Below are 25,259 nucleotides of genomic sequence, written 5' to 3' on the forward strand. Positions count from 1 at the left end.
AAGATAATACACCATGATCAGGCAGGTTTTATACCAGGAGTGTAAGGATGGTTCAACATACACAGTCAGTAAATGTGATATATCACACTGACAGAATTAAGGGCAAAAACCACATGATCATCTCCAAAGATGCAGAAAAAGCATGTGATAACTTCAGCATCCCTTCATGACGAAAGCCCTCCACAGATTAAGCATGCAAAGAGCATACTTCAAAATAATAAAGATCATATACAACAGTACCACAGCCAAAAATCATAAGAACTGGAAAAAGACAAGGATGTCAATTTTCACCACTCCTATTCAACAGAGTACTGACAGTTCTAGCCAGAACAATCAGGCAAGAGAAAGAAACAAAAGGCACCCAAATTGGTAAAGAGGAGGTTAAGTTATCCCTGTTCGTTCATGATATGATCTTATCTCTAGAAAAACCTAATGGATCCCCCCACAAAAAAGCTCTTGGATTTGATAAATTCAGTAAAGTTTCAGAATACAAAATCAATGTACAAAAACCAGTTGCATTTCTATATAAAAAAAAAAAAAAACTACTATCTAGCTGAGAAGGAAATCAAGAAGGCAATCCCATTTACAATAGCCAGAAAAAAAAAATTGGAGGAAGACGGCAGACAGGAGGCAGGACTAATGTGCAGTTCCCACTTGGAAGGACAGAACAGTGCGCGGAGACTCACACCATCAACTTTTGCTCCAAGAACCATTGTAGGATGTACCAGGAAAACAAAGAATTCACGAATCCTTTGAAAGAAGCAGCATATCATTGCAAATTCCATGAGACACAGGCAAAAAACTGAGTTCCCAGTGTGTGAGGTGGGGAAAACCTTCCTCTGAACACACATCCTCACTGTGGTAGCTGAAAATCCAGATAATGGGAAAAGGATTTAACCTTACTTAGAGTTGAAATAGATTCAGGGAGCCACACAAAAAATAAAAGCAGCATCAGTGGCAGGAAGAGCCCTGTAGGCTCTCCCAGTCTCCAGCTCAAGCCCAGGGAAGCCATCCCTGACTATATCTCACAGGGGACCTTGGGGAAGGCAGCCAGTGGAATTAGGGTGGGGTTACAGGATGAAAGAAGCTTCCAACTGAAATTTGTAATAACTTTGGGCACAAATTTTCTTGAGCAGAATTTCTTGAGCAAATTTTCTTGAGCAGAATCTGGTAGGGGGGCAGGGTGCAAATGGGAACTGCTGCAGATAAGAGCACAGAAGCCACCACGGACAGTGTGGGCAGATGGGGAAGGGCAAAGCCTGAAAGCCATGCTTGCTTTCTCAGCGGGGAAGCTTACGGCCTGGGACAAGGTCTGCGGCAGGGACTGCAGAAGAGAGACCAGCCTTGCCAACTGTGTGGGAGCTGGATGAGGCCTTTCACTACTGGCTCTCCCCAACTTCCCTGGCAAACTATATAACACAGCACAGGTGGCCAAGATCCCCTCTGGAACAAAACCCCATTGGCCTGAGAACCACCCCCCAACAACCACGGTGGCTGCAGCAAGCCCTGCCCAGGGAGAATCAGAACCCAGACCCACCTGACCTTGCCCCCAGCTGATGGTATTTCTCTACCTACCCTGGCAGCTGAACACAAAAGACATAAAGTCTAGGGAGCTTTATGGCCCCACCCATCACCTGAGAAACCAGAATACTTACCTTGGCCAACTTGGGGCAAGCTTAGATACCTCTACTACTATGGCAGCTGGAACTCTCTTGAAAGTGAGGCCAACCAACTGGCCAACCACATCAGGCCATTACAGCAACTCATGACAGAATAACCCTGCTCCCAGGAAGGAGAAAACAAAAGCTAATTCCACTGCCTGCAACATCCTGGCTAACCAGAGGTCCTGAGTCTGTCCACATGACACTTTCACTCCTGGCATAACCAGCATTTGAGAAAGCCAGCATACTAAACATACCTACAACCAGGAACTCTCACAGAGTCTCCATCACTCCCCTGCCAACTCCACCAAAGCAGATGCTGGTATCCACAGCTGGGAGACCCGAAGACAGACCACATCACAAGACTCTTTGCAGGCATTCCCCCGCACCATCCCAGAGCCTGGTAGCCCTGCTGGGTGGTTAAGCCCAGAAGAACAATAACAATCACTGCAGGCTGGCTCTCAGGAAGCCCCATCCCTAGGTGAAGGGGGAGAACACTGTATCAAGGGATCACCCAGTGGAACAAAAGAATCTGAACAGCAGGCCTTGGGTTCCAGACCTTCCCAATGAACTAGTCTACCCAAATGAAAAGGAACCAGAAAAGTAATTCTGGCAATATAAAAAACCGGGTTCTATAACACTCCCAGAAGATCACACTAGCTCCCTAGCAATGGATCCAAACCAAGAAGAAATCTCTGAATTGCCAGTTAAAGAATTCAGAAGGTTGATTTTTTTTTTTTTTTTTTTTTTTTTTGAGATGGAGTCTCACTCTGTCACCCAGGCTGGAGTGCAGTGGCGCGATCTTGGCTCACTGCAAGCTCCACCTCCCGGGTTCACGCCATTCTCCTGCCTCAATCTCCTGAGTAGCTGGGACTACAGGCGCCCGCCACCATGCCCGGCTAATTTTGTGTATTTTTTAGTAGAGACGGGGTTTCACCATGTCAGCCAGGATGCTCTCGATCTCCCGACCTCGTGATCTGCCTGCCTTGGCCTCCCAAAGTGCTGGGATTACAGGCATGAGCCACCGTGCCCGGCCCAGAAGGTTGATTATTAAGCTACTCAAGGAGATACAAGAGAAAGGTGAAAACCAATTTAAAGAAATGTTAACAATATAGGATATGGATGAAAAATTCTTCAGAGAAATAGATATCATAAAGAAAAAGCAATCACAACTTCTGGAAATGAAAAACACACTTAGAGAAATACCAAATGCACTGGAAAGTTTCAACGATAGACTGGACAAGTAAAAGAAAGAACTTCAGAGCTCAAAAACAAGGCTTTCAAATTAACCCAACTGGACAAAGACAAAGAAAAAAGAATTTAAAAACACGAACAAAGCCTCCAAGAAATTTGGGATTATGCTAAATGGTCAAAACTAAGAATAATTAGTGTTCCTGAGGAAGAAGAGAAATCTAAAAGTTTGGAAAACTTATTTGAGGGAATAACTGAGGAAAACTTCCTTGCTAGATATGCAAATGTCCAAATACAAAAAGCTCAAAGAACACTTGGGAAATTCATCACAAAATGATCATCACACAAACACGTAGTCATCAGGTTATCTAAAGTCAAAACGAAGGAAAGAATCTTAAAAGGTATGAAACAAAAGCATCAGGTAATCTATAAAGGAAAATCTATCAGATTAACCGTAAATTTTTCAGCAGAAACCTTAAAAGCCAGAAAGGATTGGGGTCCTTACCTGTAGTCCCCTGAAACAAAATAATTGTCAGTCAAGCATTTTGTATCCAGCAAAACTAAGCTTCACAAATGAAGAAGAAAAATAAAGAAATATCTAGGAGAATATTTAGCCAAGGAGGTGAAAGATATCTTTAAGAAAAAAATAAATAAATAAAATAAACTACAGGCTGGATACAGTGGCTCACGCCTGTAATCTCAGCAATTTGGGAGGCCAAGGTGGGCAGATCACAAGGTCAGGAGATCGAGACCATCCTAGCTAACATGGTGAAACCCTATCTCTACTAAAAATACAAAAAATTAGCTGTGTGTGGTGGCGCACACCTGTGGTCCCAGCTACTTGGGAGGCTGAGGCAGGAGAATCGCTTGAACCTGGGAGATGGAGGTTTGCAGTGAGCCAAGATTACGCCACTGCACTCCAGCCTGGGCGACAGAGCGAGACTCTGTCTCAAACAAACAAACTACAAAAAACACTAATGAAAGAAATTGTGGATAACACAAACAAATGGAAAAACATCCCATGCTCATGAATCAGAAGTATTAATATTGTTAAAATGACCACACTACTGCAAACAATCTATAGATTCAATGCAATCCCTACCAAAATACCAATGTTATTTTTCACGTAATTAAAAAAACTACCCTAAAATGTATACGGAACCAAAAAAGAGCATGAATAGCCAAAGCAATCCTAAGGAAAAAGAACAAAACTGGAGGCATCAACTTACCTAACTTCAAATTATACAACAAGGATACAGTAACCATAAGAGTATGGTACTAGTATAAAAACAGACACAGATCAATGGAACAGAATGGAGAACCCAAAAATAAAGCCACGTATTTACAGCCAGCTGATCTTTGACAAAACTGACAAAAACATACAATGAAAAAAGGATACCCTTTTCAATAAAAGGTGCTGGTAAAATTGGATTGCCATATGCAGATAAAAGAAACTGGACCCCTATCTCTCGCCATATATAAAAATCAACTCAAGATGGATTAAAGACTGAAATGTAAGACCTGAAATTATAAAAATACTAGAAGAAAACCTAGGAAAACTCTTCTGGACATTGGTCTAGGAAAAGAATTCATGACTTAAGACCTCGAAAGCACAGACGACTAAAGCAAAAATAAACAAATGGAACTTAATTAAACTAAAAAGCTTCTGCACAGCAAAATATCAACAGAGTGAACAGATAACCTGCAGAATGGGAGAAAAAGTTTGCAAATGATGCATCCAACAGCAGACTGATATCCAGAATTTACAAGGAATGCAAACAACTCAACAACAATAACAAAAATGACTTCATTAAAAAGTGAGCAAAGGACACACTTCAAAAAGTGGGCAAAAGACAGACTTCAAAAGAGGTCATACAAATGGCCAACTAGCATATGAAAAAATGCTCCACATCACTAATCAGAGAAATGCAAATTAAGAACACAATGTGATATTATCTTACATCAGTCAGAATGGCTACTATTAAAAAGTAAAAAAAAACAACAAATGTTGGAGAGGATGCAGAAAAAAGGGAACACTTCTATACGGTTGGTGGGAATGTAAATTATTACAACCTCTATGGAAAAACAGTATGGAGATTTCTCAAAGAACTGAAAATAGAACTACCATCTGATCCAGCAATCCCAGTACTGGGTATCTACCCAAAGGAAAAGAAATCATTATATCAAAAAGATGCCTGCACTCATATGTTTATAGCAGCACTGATCACAATAGCAAAGATATGGAATCAACCTAAGCGCCAATCAATGGACAACTGGATAAAGAAAATGTGGTATAAAAACACAATGGAATACAATTCAGCCAGAGCAAAGAATGAAATCATGTATTTCACAACAACATGGGTGGAATCATCATCTTAAGTGAAACAAGTCAGATACAGAAAGACAAATGCTGTATGTTCTCAATTATAGATGGGAGCCAAATAATGCATTCACATGGATGTAGGGTGCAGAATGATAGAAAATGAAGACTGAAAAAGGCAACAGGGCAGGGGGGAGGCTGGACGATGAGAAATTATTTAATGGGCATAGTGTACATTATTCAAGTGACAGACACCCTACAAGCCCTGACTACACCATTACACAATCTATGCATGCAACAAAATTGCACTTGTACCCCTGTAAATTTATACAAAAATAAATTAAACTGTGGTATATCCAGACAATGGAATCTTATTCCACGTTAAAAAGATATGAGCTATCAAGCCATGAAAAGATATGGAGGAACCCTAAATATACGTTAAATGAAAGAAACCTATCTGAAAAGGTTATATACTGTGTGATTCCAACTATATGACATTCTGGGAAAGGTGAAACTACTGAGACAGTAAGAAGATTAGTGGCTGCCGGGGGTGAGAGAGAGAGAGAGGGATAAATAGACAGGGCACGGAGGATTTTTAGGGCAGTGAAACTACTCTGCATGATGCCATAACAGTGGATATGGGACATTATACATTTGCCCAAACCCATAGAATGTACAACACCAGGAATGAACCCTAACGTAAACTCTGGACTCTGGGTGATAATGTGTCAGTGCAGGTTCATCAACTGTAACCAATGTGCCACTCTGGTGGGAGATGTTGGCAGTGGGGAAGGCTCTGCATGTGGGGGACAGGAGGTACGTGTGCTATCTCTGCACTTTTCCCTCAATTTAGCTGTGAACCTAAAACTGCTCTAAAAAATCTGTCTGGAAAAAAAAAACAAAAGGCAAATGAGTGGCTGCCTGGAGCTGATGGTGGATAGGGGAACACGAGCGGAGTCTGAGGGGAGAAATGTTTGGGGGTGATGAATATGTTCACTATCTTGATGGCAGTGGTGGTCCTACAGGTGTTTGTATAAGTCAAAACTTATAAAATTGTCACTTTAAACATGTGCAGTTTATTGTATGTCAATTATACCTCAATAAAGCTGTTAAAATGCATTTATTAGACTTCAGACTATATACCCAATATCATGCATTAATATATTAATGTATGGCTGTACCAATTACATTTATTTAGAAACTCTATATTTTCTGTATTTGTTTTTGTGTTATAAGTTAAATTTTTAAAGAATTTTTGAGTCCCTACCATATTCCTACATTGTACTGTGCATGTACTACAGAAGCTACAAAGTAAGTATGTAAGACATTTATTCCCTTCACGGTATTGATAGCCTTCCTAGGAAGACAAGACTTTTTAAACAATGCAATATTTCCAGTATGGCCAAATGTCTATATACAAACAGTTAAGTGAACTGGGAAGTGAGAGTGTGTAAACCTCCCACCGCATATGTGTGCTAAATGTTGTGTGGCAGGCCATCCCTTTCTTCAAGGAGCGTAGAGCTTTATGGAGGAAAAGAAAAGCCATTGGATAGAATGTGATAAGTGACCTGGTAGATAAACGGAAAACTGCACCAAGTGTTATATGAGAGTGCACGGGAGATACCTCATGGCAAACTTGATTTGTGGAGTTCATGGCTGAGCTGAGTCTTGAATGACATGTTAGGTTTTGCCGGAGAACGGCTGGTGAAGAAAATTACTCGCAGTAAACAAAGCAATGTGTTCAAAGGCATAGAAGGCATAGCAGATGTACTTTGTTTCTAACACACCTGAAGATTATGTCTTTATTACTAATGGCTCAGAATGTGAGGTTTGGAATGGCACGAGACACAGACGGGGTCAGGTATAGATCGTATGTGTTACCTTAAGGAAACTGTACAGTATTTGAATGGCAAACGTCTTTGCAGCATTTGGAGCAGGGAAATGACAAGATCACACTTCCACTGTGCATGTGTGTGTGTGGTGGGGATTGAACTAGCCCTTAAATAACAAGTAGACTCTGAATGGAAAGAAGGGACAAAGGAGGTGCCCCAGGTTAGGACTCTATACACCAGAAAGGCGACTTTCAAAAGTCCTTCCACCTGCCTCCCCTTATCAAGTGCCTGGCACTAAGAAGGCAAATGCAAACACATAAAGACTGACTTACTAAAAACAATTAGGCCCTGGCATTAGACTGCCACGCCAAGGAAACGGAGAAGAGGACAAATATTTACTGAGTATCTACTGAGTAAAAGACTTATAAAAAAATACTTTTTTCTTTTTTTTTTTTTTTGAGACAGAGTCTCGCTCTGTCACCCAGGCTGGAGTGCAGTGGCACGATCTCAGGTCACTGTAGCCTCTGCTGCCTGGGTTCAAGTGATTCTCCTGCCTCATCCTTCCAAGTAGCTGGGATTACAGGCGCACGCTACCACACTTGGCTAATTTTTATATTTTTAGTAGAGATGGGGTTTCACGATGTTGGCCAGGCTGGTCTGGAACTACTGGCATCAAGTGACCTGCCCGCTTCGGCCTCCCAAAGTGCTGGGATTACAGGTGTAAGCCACCACACCCAGCCAAAAAATAACTTATTGAAGTGAAATTCACATAACATAAAATTAACTATTTAAAAATAAACAGTTCAAGGGCTTTGGATATATTCCAAAAAAAATCCACTTTCTGTCTATGGATTTTCCTATTCTGGACATTTCATGGAAATGGAATCGTACAATATAACAACATAATGTTTTCAAGGTCCATTCATGTTGTAGTATGTACCCATTTAGTTACTCTTTTTTCTTTTTTAATTGTGATAAAATACATATAACATGAAATGGACCAATTTAACCATTTTTAAGTGTACAGTTCAGTGATAGGAAGTATATTCGCCATTGGTACTACCCATCCCCAGAATTCTCTTCATCCTAAAAAATGAATAATCTATACTCATTAAACAAGAACTCCCATTCCTCCTCACCCTAGTTCCTGGCAACTCATGAAATGAACTACTCTAGATACCTCTTATAAGTGGAATCACACTTATAAAGAGGTGCCTTTTTGAGACTGGCTTATTTCACTTAAATGTCCTTCCTTCTTTTACCTGAATATTCCATTATTGTTTATGTACCAAAATCTGATCATCCATTCATCCAACGATGGACACTTTGATTGTTTCCACCTCTTGGCTACTGTTGTAATGGTCTTTTAAAATATTAATAGCAAACCAAAATATTTGGTCAGAAAAGCTTAGAATATGGAAATAAAGACCACCAGGGCAAAAGCAAGACAAATGGAGTATCTTAGTTCATCTATTCTAGAACACAATATACACTCAACATGGTGGCACCCACTGACATCAAAATACTTATTAACATCAAAAATACTTATTAACTAGATGCTGTGAAAAATAAAAAGATGCAGAAAACAAGTCTTGTCCTTTAAGGAACATAAAGTTTCATGAGAAAGTCAATACAGACAGGTACGTATAATACAAGGTTGAAAGTGCAAGACTCTGAGACACCTTCACGTGTGATGCAGGATTTGACTCTGCCTCAGAGAATAAAAAAGATTTGGATAGATAGAGAAAGGTGAATGGGAGAAGACTGTGGGAACAATGGGAACCAAAGCTTAGAGATGGAAAACTGTATTTGCAAATATCGAATCAATTTTAGTCATGAGGATTTACGTGCAACAATTTCATTTTGTTCTAATCTGGAGGCAAATTAAATTTAGTCGTCCAGAACTAGAGTATGTGAACTTGAAGACAGACTAAAATCCAATGAAAGAGAATTATAATTAGAGTCCAGGAAAGAACCTTATGTGCTAATTTTCAAAGAAGTGCACGCCTAAGCCCTCCAGCATGGATGGTAACTGGCTGCGATCTTCCTGAGGAAAGTTCTCCAGAGACAGGTCTCCATGGTATGGCTCAGTCAAACTTTCTCACTTGGAAAATTAAATATGTCCTTATTTCTTTTGGTTTGGTTTGATGTCTTCTTTCTCTATCCTTCTCAAATAAAAGGACATCCGCTTAGAATCTACTTCACAAACACTACTCTCACAATAAAATACTAAAATCATATACTCAGCTCTCTGCTTTTTATGCTATACAAGTCTGACTCTTCTCACTTTTAAAAAGGAAAATGAGAAGCAAGAGGTAGATGTGAGGCCAGGTGCGGTGGTTCACATCTGTAATCCCAACGCTTTGGGAGGCCTAGAGGGAGGATCACTTGAGCCCAGGAGTTCAAGGAGTTCAATTTTCCAAGTGAGAAAGCCCAGGTAGTAGAGTGAGACCCCATCTCTACAAAAAATTAAAAAGTTTAGCTGGGTGTGGTGGTGGGCAGCTGTTTTCCCAGCTACTCGGGAGGCTGGGGTGGGAGGATCACTTGAGCCCAGAAGGTGGAGGCTGCAGTGAGCTGTGAATGATTGTGCCAATGCACTCCAGCCTGGACAACAGAGCTAAATCTTGTTTCAGAAAAAAGAGGTAGATGTGAGAAATATTACCAAGATGAAAGCAAGTACTGCCATGAGGTACTGGCACAGAAGGTGGAAGCATTTACCATACGTCTCAAGTTTCTGGTTTGACCACTTGGATAGAAAGTGTCCCAGAGACTGAAGGGAAATACAGGAGAGAGAGAAATGACAGGTTCTGTTTTAGAAATGACCAGTGTGAGGTGGCAGGAGGACACCCGTAAGTAGCACAGAGCTAGATTTCTCTGTTTTAGCTTAGGGTGGGTGGTGGTTTGGAGGTCTCGATTTGGGGGCAAGTGAATGGGTGGTAGTTGAAGAGCAGTAAAAGACACAGCTAAGGAATGGCCAGAGAAGCAGAGGGAAAAAGAGAGGAGCAGTGACCAGAAATGAAGACAGACAAGATGTGGGGGGTGAAATTACAAACAGTAAACACCACAGAGAAATTAAAAACAGAATCCATAGAATGAGGCAATTACAAGTCACTGGCAAACATTTAATTATCTCTTTCTGTAACTCTCTTTTGGTTTGAAATTAATGTTCAGGTGACTGAGATCTGATAAAGGAAATTATTTCAAAACATTTTCTTCTTTTAACTCTCTCTAGGCAGCATAGGAAGTTAAGAGTCATCAGAAAGAAGGAGAATGCCAACAAAACAATTAGAAACAAAGTAATACTCAGGTGAGATTTTAAAATTTTCTACAAAGTACACATATATACACACAAACACATGTATACATATGCACAGGAAAAGGTCTGAAAAGCTGTAAACCAAAGACATTTCTGGAAACTTGGAAGAGGAGACTGGAATTAGAAGTGGCGGCCGGATCTCTAATTTTTAGTATTCTTTATCAGGACTATTTATTTATGCATTCACTTATATGATTAAAAACTAAAAACACAATTTCCTACAAATGAAATAATTTGTTCATCTATCTCAGAAATGACTGTGCATATGTATTATTAAGAATACTCAGCCTGGCTAGGCACGGTGGCTCACACCTGTAATCCCAGCACTTTGGGAGGCCAAGGCGGGCAAATCACTTGAGGTCAGGAGTTTCAGACCAGCCTGGGCAATATGGCATAACCCCGTCTCTACTAAAAATACAAAAATTAGCTGGGCATGGTGGCAGGCGCCTGTAATCCCAGGTACTTGCGAGGCTGAGGCAGGAGAATCACTTGAACCCAGGAGGCAGAGGTTACAGTGAGCCGAGATTGTGCCACTGCACTTCAACCTGAGCAACAGAGTGAGAATCCATCTCAAAAAAAAAAAGAAGGAAAAAGAAAAAAAAAAATACTCAGCAAGGACAGGCACGTGGCTCCCGCCTGAAATCTCAGCACTTTAGGAGGCCAAGGCAGGTGGATCACTTGAGCCTAGGAATTTGAGGCAAGCCTTGGCAACATGGCAAAACCCCGTCTCTACAAAAAAATACAAAAAATTAGCCAGGTGTGGTGGTGTGGTGTAAGTAGCTGCCAGTAGTCCCAGCTACTCGGGAGGCTGAGGTGGGAGGACTGCTTGAGCCCAGGAAGTTGAGGCTGCAGTGAGCTATGATGGTGCCACTGCACTCCAGCTTGGGTAACAGAATGAGGATCTGTTTCAGAAAAAAGAAAACAAACAGAATACTCAGATAGCTAGAGGTCTTTATTCTTAGGACAAATTAGACCCTTACGATCATTTGTCTAGTTTTAATTGTAACATTTTAACTGTAACGTTTTTCAAGTTACTTTTTTTTTTTTACATAAAAATCAATTTAATTGGATTAAAAACTGAAAGGTAAGACCTGAAACTGTAAAACTACTAGAAGAAAACAGGGAAAAACTTCTCAATGGTGGTCTGGGCAATGATTTTTTTATTATTATTATACTTTAAGTTTTAGGGTACATGTGTACAATGTGCAGGTTAGTTACATATGTATACATGAGCCATGCTGGTGTGCTGCACCCATTAACTCGTCATTTAGCATTAGGTATATCTCCTAATGCTATCCCCCCCCTCCCCCCACCCCACAACAGTCCCCAGAGTGTGATGTTCCCCTTCCTCTGTCCATGTGTTCTCATTGTTCAATTCCCACCTATGAGTGAGAACATGTGGTGTTTGGTTTTTTGTCCCTGCGATAGTTTACTGAGAATGATGATTTCCAATTTCATCCATGTCCCTACAAAGGACATGAACTCATCATTTCTTATGGCTGCATAGTATTCCATGGTGTATATGTGCCACATTTTCTTAATCCAGTCTATCATTGTTGGACATTTGGATTGGTTCCAAGTCTTTGCTATTGTGAATAGTGCCGCAATAAACATTGAAATAAAAGAGGTTACAAACAAATGGAAAAACATTCCATGCTCATGGGTAGGAAGAATCAATATCATGAAAATGGCCATACTGCCCCAGGTAATTTATAGATTCAATGCCATCCCCATCAAGCTACCAATGACTTTCTTCATAGAATTGGAAAAAACTACTTTAAAGTTCATATGGAACCAAAAAAGAGCCCGCATCGCCAAGTCAATCCTAAGCCAAAAGAACAAAGCTGGAGGCATCATGCTACCTGACTTCAAACTATACTACAAGGCTACAGTAACCAAAACAGCATGGTACTGGTACCAAAACAGAGATATAGATCAATGGAATAGAACAGAGCCCTCAGAAATAATGCCGCATTATCTACAACTATCTGATCTTTGACAAACCTGACAAAAACAAGAAATGGGGAAAGGATTCCCTATTTAATAGATGGTGCTGGGAAAACTGGCTAGCCATATGTAGAAAGCTGAAACTGGATCCCTTCCTTACACCTTATACAAAAATTAATTCAAGATGGATTAAAGACTTAAACGTTAGACCTAAAACCATAAAAACCCTAGAAGAAAACCTAGGCATTACCATTCAGGACACAGGCATGGGCAAGGACTTCATGTCTAAAACACCAAAAGCAATGGCAACAAAAGCCAAAATTGACAAATGGGATCTAATTAAACTAAAGAGCTTCTGCACAGCAAAAGAAACTACCATCAGAGTGAACAGGCAACCTACAAAATGGGAGAAAATTTTCGCAACCTACTCATCTGACAAAGGGCTAATATCCAGAATCTACAATGAACTCAAACAAATTTACAAGAAAAAAACAAATTACCTCTTAAGGTTCCCTCCAGCTAAATGGTCCTAAAGGAAATTATTTTCCGCATGAAAATTATAATAAAGTAAATTTAAAGTAGCTGAATATCAACAGGTGACTAAATTTAGGTATGTGTGACCCACAGACATTTTCTCAGACAGGGCTGTTTGCCCTGAAAGAAGTGTAGTGTCAGGAAACACATTTCGTAGATATCAGGAATATGAGTTTTTATGGTGGTATCATGAGTTGCTCTCTTAACTGTTTTAGACATTTGGCACAAAACATTTTTAAGAATTCTTTATTCTTAAAGATCTCAACTGTATATATAAGCTTATTGCTCAGATATAAGAACATTAGTAATCAACCAAAAGTTAATTACTATAAGTTAATAAATAACTTTAATAAAGTTAAATAATAAAGTTAATAATAATAAGTCATATTATTCATTTATTATTTTCTATAATATATCTGAATATAATAAAATCATATATACTTTTTGGTGAGAAATTTTCAATATAGGGTTTGAAATTATTTTTATATCAATGTCATAATTAGGAATATATGACTTATACTTCCATTTCACATTTGTCATTGCTAAGCCTCTGTGAAAGCATTGTTTATTTCTGTTTCACAACAAGAGCTAGAGAAAGCCCAGGGTACAGATAAATAGGGATTACCAAAACCCCAAATAAAGACCTCTCCAAAAAAGACCCGTTATAAAACAAGGTCCCTTCATCAAGAAGCAAAAAGGAATAATCTACTTTAACTCCTGTAAGATAATAGACTATATGGGACCCAAATGAGAAATATGTGAAAATACTGAAAATAAATTCAAGCTGATTTGAAAGAGTAAGTGTTTTTGTTTTACTACCATAAGTACATTAAAAACAAATTGTATTTGGACACTAAATAACTTACAAATTATAGAAAGAGCTTCCAAGATGAAAAATAACTGTAAAAATAATTACAATATAGAAATTATTAAAAGCATTTCAAAGACTATCATTTGCATTTGAGAAAAATTTTCCTCTTTAAAGGAGAATTCAAATAAAGAATAACACAAAAAATCAACGTCTTAATTGTTTCATGATTAAGCATAATAAAGAACATATCAGCAATCACACAGAATCTATTCTTCTAAAATTCACTGCAACATTCAAAATATTTTATTGCATAGAATTTTGGACATCTATAGATAATTAGTTTGATCTTGTTCTATTTTCACCTTGTTTGCAAACATCTCCTTTTATCACCCTGAGAGTCTATTAAACTACACAGTAAACTGTTTACTAAAAATACAGACATCAAATCTCCCCAAATTTTGGATTCTGAAAACTTAAATATAAACAGGCAGCAAAACAATGTTTTGAAAAATATATTCATTTACATAGCATTACTTTTTCAGGGTTCTAATAAAAAATTTTAACTACAGATTCTTTGTGTTTCCTATGAAAAATAAAACCATCATTTATACTAATTCTACTTAACCAAGAATACATGGTCAAAATTTTTCTCACAACTTAATTCTTTGTGGCAAGAAATATGCTTATAAAATTTACTTAGTGGTGATTTTTCAGTTAGTACAAAATTTTTCATTCAAATATAACAAGCTATTTAAAAGGAATTATTTAATAAATATGTCATATCACACCATGTACTTAAATCTAAAGCCTGCGATGCATCAACAATAATAGTGGGCAAATGTTTAAAAAAGAAACATGTCCATTGAACACTTTCATTTTTGAAGCAAAAACATCATCATTTCTTTTATACTAGATTCGATGTATTTCAAGTTATAATCAAATTTATATTCTTCACTAAAAAAACTGTTGAAATAATAGAGAAATTACATATATAGAGATAAAATATGATTTTTCTTGTTACTGCATTTCTCATTCCATTGTAAGTGATGGGACGCTGCTGGCTGATTTCACAGGAGCAAAGGAGACCACACTAAGGTCAGGGTTTCCTTGAGAGAGGCGACAAGAAAGACTGAAAAATGTCACAGCTTGGAATCTGATTGCTTAAATACATCCTCTATTCTAGTCTTATAAGCTTTTCAGCTGGTAAATCAAAATCCTGTTATACACTAGGATAATATTCATGACAATTCCCTATATTTTATCTTCTTAAAATCAAAGACTCAATTCTAAAGGGTTAATAGAGGAATTACAAAGTAACTCTCTAGTTTGCATTTCCCATAATGCTAAAATAAAGCTTTTTCTTTTAGTCTAGAAATTTGCTTTTTTAATACTGTGAAAAGCCTCTATGAATCTGTTTAACGTATTTATTTCTTTTCATCTATTCAATGCCACTGGGCATAACATGTAATGCAGTGCGTGTTGATATTTTGCAAAGCACCACATGACTCACTGTACCCTAATGCACTCCATTAATCCTGTTTGGACAGCTGGGTCCAGGCATTTGTTAGCTGCATTTTAATTGTTCCATCTTTCTTTTTTTTCTTTTTATTTATCTCTATGGCAAACTACTCTGGAATTTAATTTGTTGGCCTTCAAAAAGTAAATTTTACCATTAGTTTGTTTTCTTTGTGTTAAAACTATACTCAGCATGTAATTTTCTTCCATAAAATCGGTATATATTAATGATTAGCAATCAATCTTAAATAATAGTACAGTGAATGAGTTTCCTAAGTATTAAAATGATAGGTTGGCTGAAATATAACAGAAATTATTTAATAGACTGTCATAATATAAATGATAACATTTAACATCAAATCAGGTTGCTAAAGAGCATACTTTTGGCATTTTCAAGATTCACATAAGCAGATGTCAAAACAATTACAAGTCCTATAAAGCAAACACAAAAGAAATAAGACTATTACACACACCAGTTTTTTATTAGCTTATGGAACAGTGGTCCCTTTACATTTATACTTTTTGTTTTCTATTACAAACATGAAATCCTTTGTAAGAATTATGAAGATAACTACAAAGCTTCTACTTTCTTTGCACAGCCTGCATCCCTGGTATCTGTAAGTCTTCAATAAATAATGGAGGCAATATGAGAGCTAATGCAAAAGCAACTCAAAGTTACCAGCAATTTTTGTTATGAGCAAGTAGCTAAAATTTAATGATCAAAATTTTCCAATCATTCGTGTGCACTCTTAAGTCAAAACCTAAGTCTAGAGAATTAGATAGAAATGCTTAATGGAAACTTTTGTCTGAAATAATATTTAGTGAAGAACTCAGAATATGGTCTACAATAGCATTTTATAAAAGACAACTAAGGGAAGACTTACTCAACTATTTCAATGACAAAGCAAAAATCTGTTTTTCTTTTAAAAGATTATCAAATTCTCCGTAAACTGAAACAATAAGAAAATGACAGAAATGAATGACAGGCAAGTAGGAACTCTCAAGGGTGTCCTTTGAATCAGAGTGTGTTCTCAGAGATTACACTGCGTTCACCTCTATTTTGTGGACACAAAGCAGCTTAAAATAATTTACAAATTTTCAATTTTTTAAACCATACTAAATTATAAACGCTCAAAAGCTTTTAAATAGAAAAATTAGTTTAATGCAGTTTCCTCACTAGAGGACTCGAAAGCCTAACTTATAGATGTGTCAGTAAAAACAAAATACAACAAAAACCAGCCCGTTGTTTGGAGAAAGAATGCTTTTAAGTGTTTAAAAAATAAGTAGTCATTATTTGATAAAAGTATTTGTCTTGGTATGCCCCTATACATAAAGTATAGAAGTAAAAGTGTAAAATAATGTAGGAAGAAACACTGTATTTCAAAGGTAATCTTTATGAGTAAATGTTAAATAAGTTCAGTAAAGACAGTTTTTAAAAACATGGATCTTTAAGTGAAAATTTCTCACTGAAACTTACCCAGTGTTCTCGACATCACAGGCAGAGCAGAGCTCAAAACCAAGATGGACACACAATTTCCAATGATCTGTTATGAGAAACGAGAAAGAATATTGGGCAGTTAAACAGCAGGATGACAATCAAACCCAGTAACATTCTGAGAAATGATTGTGCATTCTAGTTACCTAGTGTACTTTGCCGATTTCTTAATGATACTATTCAGTACAGAATTTTCAAAGAATAACACACTTTTAAAATAAATAAAGTTATATCTGTAAGTTCTAGAAGATGTTTACAGTACCTAGCACAGATATAGTTATAGAATACTTAAATTACTTGACACCTAGATAATGCACTTTACATTACTGATTGCAGCTGTTACTTTCAAAAGGCTCTGCCTGTCAAGCAAAAAATAATTAACATATTGGATACTTCTGACTACATTTTTAAGGCCAGATTATTGCTTAAGATCTCTTTTATCACATCTATTTCTAATGTTAATTGTAAGATTTAAAAAGCACCAGAAATCCAAAACCTCTAAACTTTTGTAATAATGCATCCCATGTTTATTCTTCCATAGTAAATAAGAGGAGTTGAAAATATCAATTAATATTTATGATCACTTAAACTAGATACTAAATATCTCAACTACTTATTAAGTTTAAAGAAATAGCTGTGTGTGTGTGTGTGTGTGTGTGTGTGTGTGTGTGTGTGTGTAAAATAACTTCTCCCCTTTAAGTAGGCTAAAAATATAAAATAAAAACAAAACAAGCTTTCAGCTCTTATTAGTTATTCTTCTTTGTCAGCCTACGGGAATATTTTATAAAGATTCAGTCACTATATACGGCAACAGCCTTTTTATTCTGAACCCAATGACATGTTGTGGAAAAAGTCAAATTAGCCTCAGACTACAAAATGTTTCTGAATAGAACTCTTCCGTCTTACTTTAATTATTCAAATTTGAAATACTTTGTCCCTACTACTTGTAGCAACTAAGTTCTTCAGACTTCAAACAAGCTCCCTGAAGTACAGTTAGCACAATCCAAGTTACTCATTAGCAATACGTTTTCTTTAGAGGAAAAAGAGTCCTTTCAGGAGCCTTCTATAGCTAGTTAACAAGCTCTGCAGTTCTCCGCATTTACAGTGAATGGACGCCATCCAAATTAAACAGGGTACATCCCTTTCCCACTCACTCAGCATTTTGAAAATCTTCCAGTTTGTGTTTACGCAACTTACAAACAAATACCTATCACTGCAAATGAACCATTCAGAATGACTATTAAATAAAGCAGTCTGTCAGGGAAGGCAAACGAGAGGCCACAGTCACCTAAGATTCTACCTTACCTTTGTCATAGTTGTGTCATCTTTCTTGGGAGTAAAGTTTCCAAAAAATCGAAGGCTATAGAAGCCGACAACAGAGGACACCATAAGATAGCTGTGAGAATCAAGGAAAAAAACTCTCCAACAGAATGCAAGTTTCCTAAGTTCTCGGCAGTCTCCAAAAAGTCTTAAGGCCCATAGGAAAAGCAAAACAAAAAGCCGCTTTAAGTGCTTGAGGAAGACTAACCTGTTGTTTTCTCTTCTAGACAAGTGTCTTAGTAAATAACTACTGCCCCAGAAAACTTGGTATAAAATTTGTGGATAGGCTGAACGTTCAGTTAAAGAAAGGATACAAAATCAAAATGATTTCAAGCGCAGCTCCCACAAAACCAAACGTAGAAAGAGAGGCATTTCCTATTCCAGGCCCCTGGGGTGGGAGAAAGACACTTTTCAGAATTTGATGACACCATTATATTGGTTTCCCTAAAACAGCTGTTTCATAAAATAAGACAGTTGAAATTATGAATGTTTACTACTTTGAAATAACATCTAGACTTTCAAAGGCCAACAAGACATGACATTAGACTGATTTCATCAACAAATTCAGGCACCATGTTAACAATTTTAATAAGCTCAAGAAAAATTACTTATCTCAAATGTAATTTAAGTTACTTGTCAAGATGACATGATTATGCTTACTGTTATAAAATGGGGCAACTTGCCACTTGAGGAAAAAAATCCTGAATAGTTTTGGGAAAGAGTTTTTAAAAACACAATAGAAAAATAAGAATAGGATACATAGCTATCTGAATGCTTACACAATATACAAAGATTACACAATTCAAGTATGTCAAAATTAAGCTAAGAGTAGAAAGAGAGTAAATGTGCATATCCTGTTCCCATACCTGAAAGTTTCCTTTGCCCAAATTTTCCTTGGGAATTCAGAGTTACAAAGGATGTAACTGTTAACATAGATTTTTAAAAAAGTAATGCTATAAATTTTTTCCTAAACAATTATCCCTATCTCAAAAACTATCTTTACCTAGAACTTAAAAAAAAAACACAAAAAAGTTACTATTTTTATAATTAGATCTGAAAAAATCATTCCCTACTGAAGTATTTTCAAAGATTACTAATAAAAGAAACTATCTGAATGTTTTACTAGTCAGCACAGATTACATCTAATAGAAACACCAGGGATAATTAAGAATCTACAGTCAGCCCAATAAAAAATAACTTTTTGACAATCTTTTGAAGAAGAAATAAATGATGCTGGTAGAAAGTGATGGGGTTCAAGACACACTACTCCAAAATTTGGGACCTGGTATTTGAGAAAACCTAGGAAGGTCACACACTGATCTGTCTCCTTCTCCTGCGAAGCAGGCCATAAGACCCCCATCCAAGGGTGCCCCCCGCAACCCACCCAGAGGAGAAGCACATGTTTATCTCCGGAGACACGAGGACACCGAGAAGAATATGAACAGGCCTTGCTAAATCCCCCCGGTTTATAATCATTAGATCACACCCCTGTCTTCCAATCATACTTCCCACTACTGTCCACTCTTCAACAAACCAGAGCATAAAAGTACACAGCTTTTTCTGTTTCTTTGGTCTTCTTTATTTCTGAAGACCCCTGTGATATGTAAAACTTATCTTAAATAAGTTTGTCAGCTTTTCTCTTATTAATCTTTTGTTATAGGCATCTCAGCCATGAACCTTCCAATAGGTTAGAAAAAGGTATTACTTCTTCTCCCCTACAGAAGCTTATTGATCAACAGAGATAATACTTTGGAATTATGCTATCTCAAGAGAAGCCATGTAGGAAGGATTAAGAGTATCTAATTTTTTTACACAATTATACAGGGATCTCCTATGACGTACAAGTCATTCTCCACTAAGCACTAAGGGGGATGGGTACAAAAATATACTATAGGGCTTGGGACTTGTTTTGTTGGTATAGTAAAATGGGTTAAAAGTGACTAGGAAGTCAGTATAGTAAGCGACTTCCTGTTCTATCAGTGGGTTTGGGTATAAAACTAAAGAAAAAGATAAGACTGTACATGGCAAAGGGTAGTTTCTTGTCTGTCTGTAGGATGAGGCACCTGGAGCATGATGGTGGGCTTGTACTCATGGAGAAGAGGCTGTAAGTGAATACAACAATGGCAATAACAGATGGCACAAGGTCCTGGAAAGACTCAGGTGGGGGGATCTGAATCAAGACTATGGCTAAAGGAATTTCATATAGCTAAATGAATTTCAGTAAAATCAAGATAAACTCTGATAAGAAATCTAAAAGGAAATTCCAACACTTGAAAAAAGGCCCTGTCAATCCAAAGTAAAAAATTAGAAACAAAAATCACAGTTTATATTTTAAAGGCTCTTTGCATAAAGAAATTCATACAACTTGAAGTATATACATGCACAAAGGTGAATGTTTTCATTTGCTTACTTGAAATACTCAGGGTATAGACATAGAATACTTTTGCAAAAGAAAGACATTTTAAAGGATTTTACTTTACCCTTGTTCCTTTTGGCATTGCTGTTTCATCAACCAATAGGCAAAGAATATTACAAGCCACCAAGAGGACCGAGATGGACTACAAGACAAACAGCAAACTGTCAGCTCTCAAGATTTTTCACCAATACAAAATATTAAAATCTAGGTAACCAAATACACGTTTCAGAATAGAGGGAAAGCAGTCAAGACCAAAACGCTATATATAAAACTAAAGTAATCAGACTACAAACAAGAACTGAAGAAATTCTAAAAGATTCTGCAAGTTATTGTCATTTCAAAGCTTGTGACAAAAGCTGGTAGTATATAGATCCTTTTACTAAGTGATCTCACCAATTGGAAACACACAACTCCACAGACTTAAAAAAGTGGTAAAATATTATCAGAACTAACTTCATAATGTAATTTTCATATTTTATCACAGAATTTAAAGCAGGTTATCTGCAACACCTTGTTTTCTTAATTTTCAATGAAAACAAAGACTGAATTTCCTGCTTTCATGAAGAAACAGATAATCTTCAGAATTTTTTTTAAATTGCCATTAATTTCCATTTTTGCTTTATTGGATTTTCATAAATAAAGGCATAGATGGATTTTAATCCTGTTGATAGAAAACTAGTTTATGAAAAACCATTTAGCTGAGGGAGCTGCCATACTCAAATGCTGAAGTAAATAAAATATAATTTGCTTTTATTTAACTAGGCAAATAAATTCTTACTGTCTCAATAAGAAGGAGAACCATAACAGCGGGATACACCAAATTTCTTTCCCATGCTGAAGCCTTTTTTCGCCTCTCTATTAAAAGGAAAAACAAAATAAAACAAAGTTTTCTCCAAATTAACATTTTCCTTCCATAATGCTATAATCTGTTTTATACATAATTTCTTTTTAAAAAACATAAATTACTTTTAATTTTCCTCCATAAACTAAAAAAACTACAGATAGGGCCTTGCTCTGTCACCCAGGCTAGAGCACAATGGTATAGCCGCAGCTCACTGCAACCTCCTAGGCTCAAGTGATCCTCCCATCTCAACCACCCAAGTAGCTGGGACTACAGATACATGCCACCATGCCTGGCTAATTTTTTTATTTATTTTTTGTGGAGACAGGTTCTTGCTATGTTGCCCAGGCTGGTCTTGAACTCCTGGGCTCAAACGATCCTCCCCGCTCAGCTTCCTAACATGGTGAGATTACAGGCACGAACTACGATACCCAGACAAAAATCAGAGTTTTAAAACCAGTTTGCTACATTAAACACCTCAATCCTGTGATGCGTAAATTTCAGCTCTGTGAAGACATCTCAATCATTAAGGAAATATATTGTTGATATACAGCTGACTCTGAAAATACAGACATACAGTAGGCCTTCTATAGCCACAGGTTCTGCAATAATTTTCTACCATATGTGGATTTTGGTACCCATGGGGGTTCTGAAACCAGTCCCCCACGAATACTGAGGGCTATATTTGTATTTCATATAGATCTACATATTGATATATATATATATATCTGAATGAATAAAGTTATATGAATAAAAATCCCTTCTATTCTTTTTTTTTTTTTTTTGAGATGGAGTCTCGCTCTGTCTCCCAGGCTGGAGTGCAGTGGCACAATCTCGGCTCACTGCAACGTCTGCCTGCCGGGTTCAAGTGATTCTCCTGCCTCAGCCTCCCAAGTAGCTGGGACTACAGGCACATGCCACCAAGCCCGGCTAATTTTTTGTATTTTTAGTAGAGACAGGGTTTCACCATGTTAGCCAGGATGGTCCCGATCTCCTGACCTCGTGATCCACCCACCTCGGCCTCCCAAAGGGCTGGGATTACAGGCGTGAGCCACTGCGCCCAGCCCCCTTCTATTTTCCCAAAGATAAGCACTTCTAGTTTTCTAAAGGCTGGAAGCAAACTTCTACTTTTACCTATAACACCAATCCTCATGCTAAGAACAAGAAGAAAAGATAAATCAAACTTAATTTTTAAAAAATCTGTATGAACGTATCAGAGAGCTATCAAGACAATGAAAATTGAGGGGCCAATATTCTGTGAAGTAAACTGAGCTAAGACCTCCAATTTGTACTACACCTTCTTCTGCAAGACATTTCCCAATATATAAATGGCATGGACCCAAGAGGGTGAGAAATCAATGGGTAAAAGGCAATGATTCTAAAGCAAACCTTTCAGCAAACTCAACAGAGCCAAGAGGACAGACATTGGCATTTGGGGCTACCAATGCAGTCAAAACTTGAGAGGCTATGATCATACAGAAAAGAAAAGGGCAAAGAAGTGAACCTGGCAGACAGTGCCACTTTCCCTTCAAGACACCAGTGGCTAAGAGGCCAAGAAGAACAACAGAAAGATGCAACTATGAGGCTGAGAAGCCAAGCAAAGCTTCTGTCAGGCTCATGTTTCTTGAGAGGTAAAAACTAAAATTCATTAAGAAAATGAGGTCATAGTCAATAACTAATGAACTAGGCTTTCAATTAGGACCAATGAAAAGCTATATCCTAGTATGAAGGAAGGACAAAGTGGAAATGGACCGGTCGTCATAAAGACTGAAGCCTGGCCTTGAATGATCTCAAGCCTAATGGATTAGACTGATACGTCCCTACCGTAACTGTCTACCAGAAGCAAAAGTACATCCTCCCAAAAAGAAGAAAACACCATGCAGAGTTTCTATAGTTTTGTATAAGAAATATCTGGCATTCAATTAAACATTACCAGATATGGGAAAAAGAGGCCAGGCACGGTGGCTCACGCCTGTAATCCCAGGACTTGGAAGGCCAAGGCAGGCCAATCACGAGGTCAAGAGTTTGAGACCAGCCTGGCCAACATGGTAAAACCCCGTCTCTACTAAAAATACAAAAAATTAGCCAGGCATGGTGGCATGCACCTGTAATCCCAGTTACTCGGGAGGCTGAGGCAAGAGAATCACTTGAACCATGAGGTGGAGGTTGCAGTGGACTGAGATCAGGCCACTGCACTCCAGCCTGGGCAACAAGAGCGAAACTCCATTTCATAAATAAATAAATAAATGGAAAAAGAGGGAAAAAAAAAGACAATGGAAACAGACCTCCAGGTGATCCATGTATTGGATTTATCAGAAAGATGCTTTAAAATAAATGATTAACATATTCAATAAAATAAGTGATAAATGGAAAATTTTGCAAGTAAATTTAAATCTATAAAAAATAAACAGAAAATCTAGAACTGAAAAATAATGTAACTAAAGTGAAGAATTCAATAGTTTTAACAATAGTTATGACATAGCTGAAAGAAAGCAAAATGGAAGACAGACCAGGAGAAAATATCAGACTGAAGCATGAAGATAAAAAGGAGATAAATACAGAAAAGAATATAAGAATGAAAAAGCCTAGCATGTGTGTAACTGCAGCCTAAGGAAATAAGAGAGAATGGAGCAGAAGCAATATCTGATAAGACAATGGCCAAGATTTTCCCAAATAGATAAAAGACATCAAGCCACAGTATCATGAAGTGACACATAGATTTCAAGAAAGATAAATACAAAGAAAACCAAATCTAAGCATATCAGAGTAAAATTGCTAAACAAAGACAAAAGGAAAATCTTTAAAGCCCTTTGAAAGAGCAACAACATGACTTTTAACAAGAAACCAGAAGACAGTAGAACAACATCTTTCCAATGCTGATAGCTACCAAACAAAAATTTTTAGTATGTTTTCCAATAAACAAAAACTGACAGAATCTATTGCCAGCAAACCTGTGTTTTTCAAACAGAAGCTAAATGAACATTAGAAATGTAAAAATAAAAATACAAATCAGGAACATATGAATTAGAATACCAAAGAAACACCACTTCACATCCACTAAGTCAGTAAAAATTTTAAAGTCCAACATTGTCAAGTATAATACTCATGCCCAGCAGGAATGCAAACTAATACAACTATGTGAGAAAACTATTTGGCTTTATCTACAAAAGTTGCACAGGCACATATACAATGATCTTGTAATTCCATATCTAGTATGTACCCTGAAAAAACATATATACCAAGAGTTACATACCAGAATGATTATAACAACATTATTTGTAACAGCAAAAAACTAGAAGCAAATCTAATATCCACCAACAGCAGGATGACTGAAGTAACTTCAGGAAATATTATTAACAGAAATGAAAATAAATGAACATCGTATTTGATTTTCAAGAACATAACACTGGACTTCCACTTCTGAAGCTGCGGCAACAACAGGGACCAGGTGTGTCATCCAGCTTGAAACAATTAAGAAACCAAAAAGTACACAGATAATGAAACAACAGTTTTCAAGACACTGGACATCTGATCGTGGAAGAACAATGATGCCTGAGACACAGGAAACAAACCACACAAGCCCTTTCTGACCCAGCTTACTGTCTTGAGAGTTTCCAGGCCGTGATGCAGGAAGGAGGAACACAAGCTGAGCCCAGCTCATCCCTTGAGTTGAGAGCATGAAATGGGAATCTGGGGAGACTATGTCAGCTGGAGTCTGTGCAGCAAAGTGCCAGACAGGAGACTGAAGCACAGAAAAAGAACTCCAAGGATCTGCAAAGAGTCACCCTTGAGTATTCAGTAAAGAATTCATAAAAAATTCTCAAGTATATCGGCTCAGGCATGTGAAGAAACAACCCAGGGCTAAAGAAAGAACCACCCCAAAATATGAAAAGAAACAGCACTCAACAATCACAAAAGGCCAAAAATAGTTGCTTCTTCCACAAGACAGTACAGAATGTCATCAATCACAGGACATTGGATAGAATCTGTGGAAGGGTCTTGCCTGAGCAGTGGGGAATACTTAACCCTAGAGGCAATGATCCCCTGGTCCAGCCTAAAA

The 25,259-nt window shown here is 37.4% G+C and overlaps 1 protein-coding gene across 28 annotated transcripts in view; it reads right to left on the reverse strand.

The window, feature by feature from the left end:
• LMBR1 (limb development membrane protein 1) overlaps positions 1–25,259 on the reverse strand; it is a 224,172-nt gene that overhangs the window by 38,496 nt on the left and 160,417 nt on the right. For 21 of the 28 annotated variants that reach the window (XR_007060136.1, XR_007060135.1, NR_146959.2 and 18 more), the window contains 5 exons: positions 21,137–21,213; positions 20,423–20,500; positions 18,257–18,330; positions 17,928–18,018; positions 16,605–16,671 (listed from right to left, as the gene is read on the reverse strand). Coding sequence is in view for 18 of the 28 variants with exons in the window: in NM_001363412.2 (NP_001350341.1) it covers positions 16,605–16,671; positions 17,928–18,018; positions 18,257–18,330; positions 20,423–20,500; positions 21,137–21,213 (387 nt within the window). In the remaining 10 variants the exon portion in view is untranslated. The remainder of the gene's footprint in view (positions 1–16,604; positions 16,672–17,927; positions 18,019–18,256; positions 18,331–20,422; positions 20,501–21,136; positions 21,214–25,259) is intronic. The other 7 variants (XR_007060137.1, XM_005249558.3, XM_017012515.3 and 4 more) reach the window with 2 other exon arrangements.

The sequence above is a fragment of the Homo sapiens genome, chromosome 7 (assembly GCF_000001405.40).
Source record: "Homo sapiens chromosome 7, GRCh38.p14 Primary Assembly".
Taxonomy (NCBI): Eukaryota; Metazoa; Chordata; class Mammalia; order Primates; family Hominidae; genus Homo; species Homo sapiens.